The 15,884-nt window shown below is 37.8% G+C and overlaps 1 long non-coding RNA gene across 7 annotated transcripts in view; it reads left to right on the forward strand.

The window, feature by feature from the left end:
• The first annotated feature begins 11,153 nt into the window (after positions 1-11,153).
• The window catches only part of LINC01709 (long intergenic non-protein coding RNA 1709), a 147,996-nt gene continuing 143,265 nt past the window's right edge, over positions 11,154-15,884 (forward strand). For 6 of the 7 annotated variants that reach the window (NR_183474.1, NR_183476.1, NR_183473.1 and 3 more), the window contains exon 1: positions 11,154-11,283. This is a non-coding gene — a long non-coding RNA (long intergenic non-protein coding RNA 1709). Of the gene's footprint in view, positions 11,284-13,362; positions 13,430-15,884 lie in introns of all 7 variants that reach the window. The other variant, NR_183470.1, reaches the window with a different exon arrangement.

Below are 15,884 nucleotides of genomic sequence, written 5' to 3' on the forward strand. Positions count from 1 at the left end.
ATTTTATTCTCTTTGAAGCAATTGTGAATGGGAGTTCACTCATGATTTGGCTCTCTGTTTGTCTGTTATTGGTGTATAAGAATGCTTGTGATTTTTGTACATTGATATTGTATCCTGAGAATTTGCTGAAGTTGTTTATCAGCTTAAGGAGATTTTGGGCTGAGACAATGGGGTTTTCTAGATATACAATCATGTCATCTGCAAACAGGGACAATTTCACTTCCTCTTTCTTTGACAAACCTGAGAAAAACAAGCAATGGGGAAAGGATTCCCTATTTAATAAATGGTGCTGGGAAAACTGGCTAGCCATATGTAGAAAGCTGAAACTGGATCCCTTCCTTACACCTTATACAAAAATTAATTCAAGATGGATTAAAGACTTAAACATTAGACCTAAAACCATAAAAACCCTAGAAGAAAACCTAGGCATTACCATTCAGGACATAGGCATGGGCAAGGACTCCATGTCTAAAACACCAAAAGCAATGGCAACAAAAGCCAAAATTGACAAATGGGATCTAATTAAACTAAAGAGCTTCTGCACAGCAAAAGAAACTACCATCAGAGTGAACAGGCAACCTACAAAATGGGAGAAATTTTTCACAACCTACTCATCTGACAAAGGGCTAATATCCAGAATCTACAATGAACTCAAACAAATTTACAAGAAAAAAACAAACAACCCCATCAACAAGTGGGCGAAGGACATGAACAGACACTTCTCAAAAGAAGACATTTATGCAGCCAAAAAACACGTGAAAAAATGCTCACCATCACTGGCTATCAGAGAAATGCAAATCACAACCACAATGAGATACCATCTCACACCAGTTAGAATGGCAATCATTAAAAAGTCAGGAAACAACAGGTGCTGGAGAGGATGTGGAGAAATAGGAACACTTTTACACTGTTGGTGGGACTGTAAACTAGTTCAACCATTGTGGAAGTCAGTGTGGCGATTCCTCAGGGATCTAGAACTAGAAATACCATTTGACCCAGCCATCCCATTACTGGGTATATACCCAAAGGACTATAAATCATGCTGCTATAAAGACACATGCACATGTATGTTTCTTGCGGCACTATTCACAATAGCAAAGACTTGGAACCAACCCAAATGTCCAACAATGATAGACTGGATTAAGAAAATGTGGCACATATACACCATGGAATACTATGCAGCCATAAAAAAGGATGAGTTCATGTCCTTTGTAGGGACATGGATGAAATTGGAAATCATCATTCTCAGTAAACTATCACAAGAACAAAAAAACCAAACACCGTATATTCTAACTCATAGGTTGGAACTGAACAATGAGAACACATGGACACAGGAAGAGGAACATCACACTCTGAGGACTGTTGTGGGGTGGGGGGAGCGGGGAGGGATAAATTTAGGAGATATACCTAATGCTAAATGATGAGTTAATGGGTGTAGCACACCACCATGGCACATGTATACATATGTAACTAACCTGCACATTGTGCACATGTACCCTAAAACTTAAAGTATAATAAAAAAAAAATGAAAAAAAAATACTTGGTAAGAAACTCAGTGCTTTATTTTCTAATTTACTATAAAAAATCATATTATTTTATAATAAAAGTTAGAAAAATTGAGACATTCCAAGTATTAAGTGTCTAAAATATACAAATGTGAACTTTATTTTGAGAAAAAATGATGTCTTATTTCTAAAAAGCTTTTGAGATCCCTGAGTTCAGGGAATACAGGATGTATTACATTTTCCTGGAGTTCTACCTGGCACCAATCCCTCCTCAAGGGAATCTGGAGCAAGTTCAGCAAGGACAATGGCCAGGAGGCCTCATATGATAGTTAGATATCAGGCATTAGAATTTGGCCAGAAGGATTACCCAGAGAGCTCAAAATGGAAAAAGGATGGAAAGAGGGACTTCTGAGGATGGAAGTTCAAAGAGTGGGTTCTGAGGCTGGAAGTCAGAAAAGCCAAATCTGTCTTAAGGTCTGATCATCAACATTCTTATGCCTTCATTACATCAGTGAAAATGTAAGAACAGGGCAGGGAGCAAAGGGCAAATGTTGGAACAATGTAAGAGGATCTGAACCCATAACGTCTAGATTTTGGAACATAAACTTGGGCCCAGTGTGTTGTAGTTCAAGTAGAGGGAGCTGCAGTGGCTCAGGGCAAGAGGGCAAAAGGAGAAGAGAGCAGCTATGGAACATAATAGAATAATACTCAGCAGATTCATCTCCTCCCATAAGGTGTACATGGCAATAGGCAAAAGGAGAGTCTAAGGAGCCTGATGACCTCACTTTGAATTTAGACGCTGTCACTGATTGACTGTGTGAACTGGAATTAATTTCTGTGCCTTAGTTTCTTCAATGTAAAATGAGGTTAATAAAGAGTTGTTAGGAGGATTAAGTACATTAATATTTTAAAAGTGCTTAGAACAGTGGCCGGTTCATGCTAAGTGCTACATAAGGGCTTGATACATAAATAAGTTGTCACCATAGCTTTTTACTTGCAGCAGGATAATTTTTTGATACATTGTCTTAACCTGTTTTGTGCTGCTATAACAGGATACCTGAGATGGAGTAATTTATGAAGAACAGAAATTTATTTCTCACAGTTCTGGAGGCTGAGAAGTCCAAGATCAAGTTACTAGTATCTGGTGTCTGGTGTGGTCCTTCTTGATGCAGACTCACATGGTGGAAGACAGAAAGGCAAGAGAGAATAAACATTGTATCCTCACATGGCATAAGAGCAAAAGAGTGAATCCACTTCCATAAGCTCTTTGTACTGTGATATTAATCTATTCAGGAAGGTGCAGTCCTCATGACCTAAATACCTCTAGTTAGGCCCCACCTCCCAATACTGTTGCATTGGAAGTTAAGTTTCAAAAGGAGTTTTTTGGGGGAAAGCACTCAAACTACAGCACACATTAATGCATGATTTTCTCTCTCTATATTTTCCACCTTTCCCTTCCTTCCTTTATTCAAGCAGAAGGTCAGGCTCATGGGTTTTTGGATTCTGGATGTTTTTGGCTTGCAGAAAGCAGATATTGCATTAAAATTCACTTTCTGAGTTATTTATTCTAAAGACTTCTGAGGGCACCAAGGGAAAAGAGATATGTTCTCTCTATGGGAAACAGTAGAACGTCTTGTGTGCTTTGATAGTGGAGACCCTTGTCCTGCTCTGTAACGCCACACTGGGGAGGAGTCAAGCTCTCAGGGAAAGTCTGAGTGGGGTCCCCAGGGAGTCTGAGTTCCCAATCTGGAGGCTCCAACTATCTTCAAAGTTTTTCTGACTCAAGACTCAAGGATGGCATGGCAGCAGCAAAGCTGCAGGATCTGAAGAGACTGGATGTGTCTCCAAGGGAAATAATAGGTACTAATGAGTCATGACCAGAAGACACTCCCCAGTGTATCAATTCTTTTGTAAGATTCTCAGCCTTTTCTCAATCCAGGTGGGGAGGAGATGGGATAAGGAGCAGAAGTATGAGAAATTTCCTGAAGGATAAAGTCTGAATTTTTTTTTTCCCCAGCCAGCCTGGTGGGATGGGGGCTCAGAGTGTGAAAACTTTCTTGTTTTAGTTTGAGAAAATTTTAAGAATGGTATTTTTTGTACACTGTAGTTTGGCAACTAAAAATCATACATGATATAGTCATATTTTTGATAACCTCCCTTATTCACCTGCTATTTAAGTTGTTATTCATTTTAAATACATTTCACTTGAGGAATAATGTTAAGAATGGGAAATGAAATTCACTGAGTATGCTCTCTGTGTCCCTGCCCAATCATCTCCTATGTCAAATAGGAGCAAACAAACTTGTTTTCAGCTCAGCTGTCACATCTGAACCTACAAAACCATGATGATCTGGCTTCTGGGAGTTGGAGGAGAGAAGAACCTCTCCTAAATCTGAGCTATTATGCTTCAGTTATCACCAGAAACATCTGTTTACCAACTTGTCAAGCCAAACTCTTTACTCTGAATTTAGACAGCTGCCACAAAAATAATACACTTTGCTGAGAAAGACAATAAACACAACATAACAGAAGCCAGTTGTCTCAGGATTAGCCAGCCAGAGATGAGGAAGGCCTATCAGCATTTATGCTCAATTTATAAGGTCCTCTGGCATAGTTCACTCTACTGAGTTTGGCTGGGCTCACTTCGGAATTATTTTAAACATAGCTTTAAGTCTGCACGTCAAGGTGGATTTCTGTTGCTCTGCGCTGTGTTGCCACCTTGATCACTTCATTTAGGCTCCTTCCATCACCTCAGTGCTTCACCCTGAAGATCTGCTGACCTTGCTGTTTGCAGATCCTGGATTCTGCAGCTGCTATCTTTGACAGCTGAACAGTGCGGCTCTGCCCTCAGCTGTCTTGACCTGCTGAGGATGAGATCTGCTGATTCACCTCACACACTGGTGTCACCCTCCGCCTTATGCTCAGGTCAGGGGCAGGGCACATCCTCAGTATTATTGCTTGGATTCTGAAATACTACAGAGGTTAATAGTGTAACTTTTAATTTTTTTCATTCAGTAATCTTATGCCCTTTGTCTGCTCTCAGCCCACTGGCTGGATCCTTCTTTTTTCAAGTGATTCCATCTCAGGGCTCTTTGTTCTGTATGCAAATTTGAAAGAACCATCCTCTTGTCACCACTACCTATACCCCCTACCCAGGTCCTCACACATTCTTATGCAAGTCTGAACCTTAATTGTGGATGCAGTTCAAATGTTTATCTTAGGATGGTCCTCAGCCTCCAGGAAAATCACATAGGATGCACATAGAAGTTTAGGGAAGGGGCACCACCCAACACACATTGGATATGTGTAAGACTTGTGTCTACTGTCAACTCCCTATTATATAGGCTATGTGGATGTAAGGTCCAGGAATAATAATAATAATAATGGTCAACTTTTCTTGAGTTCTTATCATGTGCCAGGTGTTGTACTGGTTTTGTATTTTCATGATTTTATTTAATCTTTGCAATAATCCCATGAAGTAGCTATTACATCCATCCATGCAGACTTTAGATAAGAACACTGGTGGCACAAAGAGGTTGGGTAATTTACTTGAGGCTCTGCAGTTAGAAAATGGCTGGATCGTGATTCAGTTTGAACTTGAATGGGATACTGAAAAACTATCACTTGTAAGCAGATCCTGGGGCTTGTACTTCTAATCATTGGCTACATGGGAGGACTAGCCTGGGAATGCTTTCTCTGGCTGTTTTTCCCACATGGCTAATGGTATTTTTTACTAATGAACTATATTTTTTTACTGTTATAAACACTGCCTAATCTTTCATTAACAAAAGACTGGAATACGCTACTCAACCCAGGTGATTCATAGGATGGTAGTTTGACTTCAAATACAGAAAGACAATTCTTAACTGTCTTTATGATTAATAATGATAATAAGAAAAACTAGAAAATAGGCCACTGCTACTTGTGTTCAATGTGCATTCAAATTTATGACATGTCTGTCCTTCACAACCCTCATTCATTGTTACTTACATGTCATACTCTTAGTTATTTTTACTTAAAAATATATCAATTGTTTTTTGACATGCTCACTTTTTGGATTTTTACTTTTTTGATAAATGTAGCTCTTGTTCTAAATATTGTGTTCTGCTTGGTTACTTGTGACTACTTGTTATTTATTACAAAATAAATGCATCTCAGACACACACTTTTTCAGATGGCACTTGCATAATATTTAACATTTGGTTAATAGCTCTGAAAACAATAAGGTGCAAGTATTGCCAGTATGTATCACCAGGAAAAGCTGAGGCTGACAACATTTCAAAATGAATGTATCGAAGCATTTGAAGACTTTTCTCCATTTGTATATAGTCAGGGCAAGACAATTGTTTCTCAAATGTTATTTATTTGTTGCTAGTGTTTTTGTGAGCAAATCTTTTTGTGGAGCTGACTTCAGTGTGACCTTCTCTTTCCAAATGCATTCAACCTTTTGAAAAATCTCTGTTTTGGAATGAAACTTTTCAAAGAACATATTTCTCATGTCTTCCCGAGTGTTGTTACTCTTGTCAGAATTTTCCTCTAGTAGGGATATTGTCATTTTTGCTATATCTGCTGGTTAAATTTTTGCACGATGGATAGACTTAGACTAGGCTAAGAGTTTCTCACAGACTAGGGCATTCCTCTATGACATATGATTCCAATTAAAAGGGGTATCGGCCAGGCATGGTGGCTCATGCCTGTAATCCCAGCACATTGGGAGGTCAAGGTGGGTGGATCACCTGAGGTTAGGAGTTCAAGACCAGCCTGGCCAACATGGTGAAACCCAGTCTCAACTAAAAATACAAAAAAATTAGCTGGGTGTGATGGTGGGCGCCTGTAATCCCTGCTACTTTGGAAAGCTGAGCAGGAGAATCGCTTGAACCTGGGAGGCGGAGGTTGCAGTGAGCTGAGATCGCGCCACTGCACTCCAGCCTGGGCAACAAGAGTGAAACTCTGTCTCAAAACAAATAAATAAATAAAAAATAAAAATAAAAATAAAAGGAGTATCATTTCACCCCCAACATGACAGTATTAAATTTACTACAATAATTGCAATGCCAATGATGTCATCCTCTCTTTCTCTTTATGTCTGGCTCAGGGGCTCTTAATCAATGATAATTTGAGAGACATATGCAGGAATATACCTTGAGCTTCTTTAAAGTTTCACTTGTCCTCTCATGAATTGTGTCATGATTAGTGAGCTCCATATGGTTGACTGGGTGACTTTCCGCTGACATTTATTATTGAGCATTTATTTATTAAAAGAAACTTGAGTAGTAACATGCAATATGATGTAAAGTATGATCTAGAGAAACAGAAACAGCTTGAATTAAAGCTGTAGATGGGGCTGCGATTCAATCATAAGATAAGGAATAACATTATAAGGCTACCAGAGGTGCGAGGAATTTACTCAGCAAACACATATTTGGGATGTTCCCTCTGCCAGAAATGATGCTAGTAATAGGAGATGAAGCAAATATGACATAGTCCTCATCCTAGAAATACTTATTCTAGTCTTGGAATGTAAATAAATATATATAGTATATGACATGCAAAAATATCACTGAATTTGGACAATAGGCGTTAAATCAAAAAATTTTTGGTGAGTGAAAAAATACAATTTTGTACAGTGGAATGAGTGGGTCTGAAGGGCTGGTTCTTAGACAAGGAGTAAATTCTCTTCTCACTTTCTGAGATTTCCCTTGGAAAAATAGTTTAAACTTATGTTTTTAGCCACTATCTACGTACCAAGCCAAATATAGACCCTCGGCCCAGACTTCCTGCTGAGCTTCAGAACCATAAAGCCACTACCCACTGAACATTAGCACTTGACATTCCGGTATTTCTAGGATAAGGTCTATGTCATATTTAGTTTATCTCCTATTACTAGCATCATTTCTGGCATATTGCCCAAACTCATGTATCCTAACTTGATTTTCCTTTATCCGCAATTCCTATTTCAGTTAATCACTACTATTCACCCAGTTTCCAAAGCCACCCTAAATTGTTCCCTCTAATTCACATGTCACATTAAATCAGTCCATGTCCCTATTCTCTACCTTCTTAATTGTAAACTTCTCTCCTTGACTTTCCTATTGATGTGATTCATGTATTTGTCACTTATCTCACAGATTATTATGATATACTTATAAATCCTCTCCTGTATCTTAATCATTTACAACTTTTCTCTTCCCTAGTGTCCTAGGTTCTTTTTTGTTTGTTTGTTTGTTTGTTTTAAATAGAGTCTCCCTCTGTTGCCCAGGCTGGGGTGCAGTGGTGAAATCTTGGCACACTGCAACCTTGGCCTCCTGGCTTCAAGTGATTCTCCGGCCTCAGCCTTCTGAGTAGCCTGGGACTACAGGCATGTGCCACCACACCCAGCTAATTTTTTTTTTTTTATTATACTTTAAGTTTTAGGGTACATGTGCACAATGTGCAGGTTTGTTACATATGTATACATGTGCCATGCTGGTGCACTGCACCCATCAACTGGTCATTTAGCATTAGGTATATCTCCTAAATCTATCCCTCCCCCCTCCCCCCACCCCACAACAGTCCCCAGAGTGTGATGTTCCCCTTCCTGTGTCCATGTGTTCTCATTGTTCAATTCCCACCCATGAGTGAGAATATGCGGTGTTTGGTTTTTTGTTCTTGCAATAGTTTACTGAGAATGATGATTTCCAATTTCATCCATGTCCCTACAAAGGATATGAACTCATCCTTTTTTATGGCTGCATAGTATTCCATGGTGTATATGTGCCACATTTTCTTAATCCAGTCTATCATTGTTGGACATTTGGGTTGGTTCCAAGTCTTTGCTATTGTGAATAGTGCCGCAAGAAACATATGTGTGTATGTGTCTTTATAGCAGCATGATTTATAGTCCTTTGGGTATATACCCAGTAATGGGATGGCTGGGTCAAATGGTATTTCTAGTTCTAGATCCCTGAGGAATCGCCACACTGACTTCCACAATGGTTGAACTAGTTTACAGTCCCACCAACAGTGTAGAAGTGTTCCTATTTCTCCACATCCTCTCCAGCACCTGTTGTTTCCTGACTTTTTAATGATTGCCATTCTAACTGGTGTGAGATGGTATCTCATTGTGGTTTTGATTTGCATTTCTCTGATAGCCAGTGATGGTGAGCATTTTTTCATACCCAGCTAATTTTTGTATTATTAGTAGAGATGGGGGTTTTGCCATGTTGGCCAGGCTGGTCTCAACCTGTCCTCAATTGGTCTCCCTGCCTTAGCCTCCCAAAGTGCTGGGATTACAGGCCAGGATTACACTGTGCCTGGCCCCAGTTTGTTTCTATTGTTGTTGACAGGATTGTCTTTCTAAAATTTTTCAGTGGCTGTCTCTAGAGTTGAGCAAATCCAAACTTCTTGTCTAAGACATAAAATATATCATGTTACTTTATATATATATGCTGTTTGCCTATGCTGTTCCCTCTACTTGCAATTTCCTTTCCTTATCTGAAGCTTATTATCTGTCACAATGCAGTTCATATGTCCACGAGTAAATGAAGCCTCCTCTGCCTCCCTCTTCCCATCATATGGCAAACTTCTTGAGGGCAGTCTTGGGAAAATTATTAAACATAATACACTCCCCAAATGTTTATTAAATAAATGAATATTAATAGTGTTAAATGATATCATTATTTTCATTTTTTGAGCGTTTACTTTTATGAAGACACTGGCTAAGCATTTTAAATATGTTTTCTCCAACAATCACAGCACTTCTGAAAGTAGTTATGATTTTTCTTACCTTATAAATAAGAAAATAGAGACTCAAAGAAGTTAAGTGAATTTTTATATCTCACATAGCCAGATTATGACAGAAGAGAGATTTGAGATCTAATCTGTCTGATTCTGAGTTTGTGAAAATATGACCTGAATTTTAACAACCTTTTATTAAAGATCAGTGAAAATAAGGTTAGCTCATAAGGATAATAGCAGGTTAATTTTCCAGCTGGACTACATAACTATGAACATAAATATATAAAATGTGGATATTATATATAGTAAAATATATAATATAAAGTATATATAATTATATTTAATATAAAACATATTGTTAATAATATAGCATATACTATCATGTATGCTATCTATAATTTTATTATATGTAATATAAATTAACATGTAAACATAATATGCTATATTCATATGCTAATGTAACACAAAACTATAAAATTATATATAATCATATATAATCTAAATTTTTATCTATCCAAAGTATAAGGTAATTAAACAGAAAAACTTCAAATAAAATGCAGCAGCTCCTTATTTCATCTTTCACCATTCTAAGTGCCATTTTTAAGATAGTATAATCAAATTTTTTTTATTACAATTTCTTGGGTAATTACTCTAAAGAAAATGAAATGCTTATAATACTGTTTCCTAACTTATGAACTTGATTTCCTATTATAAAAGATGAATATTAAGCTGATTTATAATACCTCATATCACCTCTCCATATTTTCCAATTTTGACAGCTCTAGTATTTCTCCTAATTTTGTATTGGTTAATTGTGTGCCTTTTTTGTTCTTAAACCCCCATTTCTCTCTACCAGTTTTCTATGCATCTTTTGATTTCCCTTAATGTAAAAATGATATTAATGTCCTTCCCTTCCTTACATGTCTCCCTCCCATTCAAATAATCAGCTCTGGCTATGTTTTCCTTTCTTGTTATTTAGGGCGATAACTTTTACTTTCCATTCAGTTAGAATTGTTCATCATCTGTGTGTTTGTGTGTGTGTATACATGTGCGTGTGTGTGCTTGCCTTGGAAATTACAACATGCACTTTTTACTTTCCCTGGACATTGCAAGGACATTACAACATTTCAATTCATTTATACTGACTCGTATGCTATGATTTTCTTACACATACACACATGCTAATATGGGTAAGTCTACATAAACCATGACTGTACAAAACAACAAATGGTAATATGTAAAATGTGTGTTTATACAGTATGTTTTTGAAAAGCATTATTATTGTTGTTTATACAATCACTTCTCATGTAGAGTTTCCCATATATTTATCACTTTCATTGCTCTTCTTTTTTATTTATTTATTTTTTTTTGAGATGGAGCCTCACACTGTCACCCTGGCTGGCGTGCAATAGTGCAATCTTGGCTCACGGAAACCTCCACCTCCTGGGTTCCAGTGATTCTCCTGCCTCAGCCTCCCAAGAAGCTGGGATTACAGGTGCCCACCACCATGCCAGGCTAATTTTTTTGTATTTTATTAGAGACAGGGTTTCACTATGTTGGCCAGACGGGCCTTGAATTCCTGATCTTGTAATCCGCCCACCGTGGCCTCTCAAAGTGCTGGGATTACAGGCGTGAGCCACCACACCTGGCCTTGCTCTTCATTTCTTACCACATCTCTTCTTTATACTTTCTTCTCTCTTTATTTGTATCCATTAAATTCTTAAATTCTATTGTAATATCTTCTATGGTTTAAATGTTTTTTTCCACCCTCCAAAATTCATGCTAAAACTTAATCCCCATAGCAACAGCATTGGGAGGTGTGGCCTTTGGGAAGAGATTGAGTCATGAGGGCTCTGTCCTCATGAATAGGACTAGGTGAGCTAATAAAGGGGCTTGCAGGATGAAGTTTACTTTTTTTTCCCTTTCACCGTCATCCATGAGAAGACACAGTGTTCCATCCAGAGGATGTAGCATCAAGGCGTCATCTTAAAAGCAGAGAAAAGACTCTTACTTGACACCAGATGCCAGTGCATTGATCTTGGACTTCCCAGCCTCTAGAACTGTGAGAACATATATTTCTGTTGTTTATAAATTACCCAGTCTGTGGTATTTTGTTATAACAGCACAAATGGCCTAAGACAATATCCTAAGATTTTGACTCTTTCAAACAGCTATCTATATCATGTTTCATAGTTTCGAGCTCCTTAACAAGATTTTCAAATCAACTTTCAGTTAGTTGTCTGTTATTTGTGCTGGTTCTTTCTTGAAGTTTTTGTCCACACATGTCTCTAGTTATTTTAGCTTGTATGCTGAAAATTGTATTTTGAAAAGCTAATTGCTGAAATAATTCAAGATTGAGCATTATGTTGCTTTCCTCCAAAGATTTTCATTTTTTTGTCAGGTGCATAAGGGCACTAGCAATTAGTGCTTAATTAAGTTCAGGCCTGAAAGTTTCTATGTAACCCAAATGACTTCAAGCCCAGGAAGGCTTTCCCCGGGACAATATCTGACAAAGATACCTTTCTCCATTTGGACAGAATCTGACAGAGATTACAGGTTTCCACATCTCTATAGTCCAGGCAAGTTCAATGTGGATAATTAGAGAGTTGAAAAATATTTCTCCTTGAGGGAGGTTAAAGAAAAAAATGATTCAAAAAACTTATTAAAAACAGTAAGTTCAGACTATGTTTAGGACTGCCACAATAGTATAGGGACTTTTGCAACGGGGTTTTGCAGTAGGGGAGAGAGATTGGGACCAACTCTTGAGTGCAACAAGTAAAAGCTGTTATTTATAGCCAAGGAGAAGGGTAGGGTTGGAGAGGTTAATGGATGGAAAATTACTGTGAGAATGTCAAGGGTAATGGGGGATTAGGGCTAAACTGACCTAACCAGGATTCTTTCTGAAGGCAGATCAGGGTCATCATATTCTAAAAGACGAGTAGAGGATGAGAAACTCTGTCAGATATGGAGGGTGAATACGTATCAAGGGTAAGGAACTCTGGCTAATCAAACTTGACAGGATTCTTGCTAACACCAGGTTCTTGGAGAACATACCTGAGGATGGAGCCTCATTGGGCTCAGAGGAGTCTGACTAAAATTTGGTCAAAGAGACAATCTTTGTCAGGGAGAATGAAAAACATTGGAGTTATTAATGGAGTTATTTTTCCTCAAGATGAAAAATCTAGGTGTTGATTATGGAAAATATGTGAGGAATTACTATTCTATTCTTCATATATACTCAACAAGGAATAAGAGAAAATAAGCTTGAAGCATCCCAAGCAGGGAGGAAATAGTAGATTTAATGAATGAATAATTAAACCAACTAGTGGCATACAAGGGAAATATTCCAATGTTTCTTCCTTTGTTTACCATTCTCAATGGATCTTTTTGGTCCATTCTCATTATACTGCTTTCACTGTCAGTTACTGAGGCACAGACCCTAGTAGTATACTAGACATTTCTTACATTGTCCAGTGCCCCTCTTGAAGGATTGTGGTATCTAGCTATCAATTTGGAGCTGATTGCATTTGGACACAAAATGAGAATAATAACTTTTACATTTGTATAGTGCTTTCTGTTATGTCAAAGAGCTTTCTTTTCCATTGCCTCAAGCAATATGGTGTAGTTTAAAAGCTGTGTGTTGTTGGCAGAGCGGTTTGATTAATTTCCACTGCACAATTGGTAAAACTGAATCCCAGAAAGGTTTTCACTTAAGTTTCAACTGGTGATAAAGTGTATGATAAAAGCAGGGGTTTCTAGTCTTACTTTCATCACACTTTAACATGGATGAAACATACCATGCAAAGGAATTCCAGAATTTAAATACTAAGCTTTTTAGTGAATGCAAATCCATAGTTAAGCTCTCCAAACTGCCTACCTAGTTTGCTTTAATCTTCATGTTTGACGTGAATGTGGTAGATACCCTTCTTTACCCACCTATTAAAGTATTCTCTTTATCTGTCTTCTCTCCAATTAGTAATAGTATAGCTTGATATTGTTATATTTCCTGAAGATTTAGTCTTGTAATATATTTTCATTTTTTATCCCTCTTTCCTTGGATTTCCATTCACTTCTCTTTGCCCAGTTGCAGGTAATCAGGACTTATTCCCCCAAACACACTTCTTTTCTATTTTCCTTCTAGAATGCTGGTAGCTGTGTAATTAGGCAAGTTCTTCTCTGCTATTTTAAGAAAAAGACTTCATAGAAAAGTAGGTCTCCTTTTGAATATTCACTGTATGGGATTCCTAATGTTAAAATTAATGTTTTCCCAAATATTAATTATTAAGCACATAAACAATGTGGAGATATTTAACATGGAGTCTGGTACATGGTAAATACTTAGTAAATGACAACTATTTTTATTACCAACAATAATAATAAATATTAGGCTTCCAACAACAAAGTCTGGATATGTGTTTCCTGGTCTACCAGGTTTGTATAGCATTATGAAAAAATGAAGCAATATGGTGCTGACTTAGAGTGCTCCTCTGGCTCTGGTTTGGTTGTGTACTCAGGGTCAGAGAACCCCTCTCTTAGAACATTGTTTGTGACTATGTATGCATCAGGACTAATAATGTCTTCAGTGTCTAAAAGTTAATTTAGCCACAGCTGTGTCAATATAAGAAGCATTACTTTCTGGTGGGATTAATTTCTGAAATGACATTTTAAGCTAAGGATTTCACCATCTCTATCCCTGAATTATTTTGAGAATGCCTGGAAAATGCCGTGTGGAAAAAGTTTTCTAGATGTGGCTTTTTCAAATGTGAAATTAGGTTTGAAGACAGTTTTTAAATAGATTGTGAAGGAGGTTCCGAAGGAGTGAAGTTGAAACTCACTGAGTTTGGGCATTAGAATTTTTTAAAGCCATAACCAAGATTTAATTTGTTCTGGGGGTAAATTAGCTTTAATTGGGTTGGCTAGGTTGGGAGAATAACCCTCTTCCAAGTAAGAACCCTTGTGTTTTAGCTCTTAAACATTTGATAAATGGTTCCATAACGTGAATTAATTGATGCCAATTGTGACAAAAGTGTGGAAGTTACTGAACCCTATTCAGAGACTACTAAAGCTGCCATTTTAACGTAATGTTTCTACATCAGCCCCAGGCCATCTATAAGTCAGACAAGAAGAAGGCTATACTTTGACACTGTTGATTGTAGAAGGAATTAAGTGATGCATTAATTTGTACGTGATAGAAATTTGAAAAAAGTCATCCCATTACTCATGAGAAAAACTTGTAAATAAAAATGAAGGACCCAGATATTAGCCAATGGGAGACAAGTTAGCCCCGTATTATTGACCAGTTCTATAAATATTTCCAACTCTTGAGTCTATGACAGACTGAAAGTGAAGAGTAATGCATTTTTGCTGACAGAGATACAAGAACTCCACTTAAGTCAAGGAAGGCTTTGAATGAGATCGTGATGCAAATGGTTGACGACATCAGATGAGTTAATTGTTCTGACTGGCTCTGAAGGAGAAGTAGGTGAATTTTTTCTTCTTGATGAAATCTCAGAGCTATTTACCACAAATGGCACAGGACTCAGATTTATGTTATAACAATAAAACCTAGCATCAAATTTGGTATTCTTCCTTAGAAAAATGAGCCACATGTATTTTCTGATTGTCTATGATTTCCTCATACTTGGTGCTCTACCTCAGAAAAATGAGCCATCTGTAATATTTTCCATGATTGCCCAAGATTTCCTCAGATGGCCACATTAGGCAGAAGCTGTCATGGGAGATCTGACAAAAATCACAAATGAAGGTAATGTAGTTGCAGGAGATACTTTAGAACATCCTCAATGTTGTTAGTCTCACAAGATCTGAATCATCTTTTGTTTAGATGAATCAGTTTTACTAAGTTTCTACAACAAAGCTCAATGTATTTGAAGTGTAATTACCAATATTGAGGATTATAGCCACCTAACTTGGCAGACTATTACTCTTTCTTTGGCTGACTCCTTTAATCAAGGGCATTTTCGGGGCCAGATTTGACAGCTGCAGTGCTGGAGACAGATTGCGAAAAAGGTTCTGGGATAAGTTACATTTTCTCTAGCTTTTGTGTCAAAGCAATCGACAATCTATTAGAAAGTTTCATTGTCTACATCAAAGCCAGGAAGGTGTAATGCACCATCTTTCTGGCAGGAGTAACAATGATAAAGTGATTTTGATAAAATCTCATCATAGTCACATCTATGGGATTGTGATAGTGAATATTGAGTGTCAACTTGATTGGACTGAAGGATGCAAAGTATTGTTCCTGGGCATGTCTGTGAGGGTGTTGCCAAAGGAGATTAATGTTTGAGTCAGTGGACTGGGAGAGGCAGACCCACTCTCAATCTGGGTGGGCACTATCTAATCAGCTGCAAGTGCAGCTAGCATAAAGCAGGCAGTAGAAGATGGAAGAACAGACTTGCTGAGTCTTTTGGCCTTCATCTTCCTCCCATGCTGGATGCTTCCTGTCCTGAAATACCAGACTCCAAGTTTTTCAGCTTTTGGACTCTTGGACTTACACCAGTGGTTTGCCAGGGACTCTCAGGTCTTCTGCCGCATACTAAAGGCTGCCCTGTCAGCTTTCCTGCTTTTGAGGTTTTGGAACTCAGACTGGCTTCCCTGCTCCTCAGCTTGCAGATGGCCTATTGTGGGGCTTCACTTTGTGATCGT

Source organism: Homo sapiens, chromosome 1, assembly GCF_000001405.40.
Source record: "Homo sapiens chromosome 1, GRCh38.p14 Primary Assembly".
Lineage (NCBI taxonomy): Eukaryota > Metazoa > Chordata > Mammalia > Primates > Hominidae > Homo > Homo sapiens.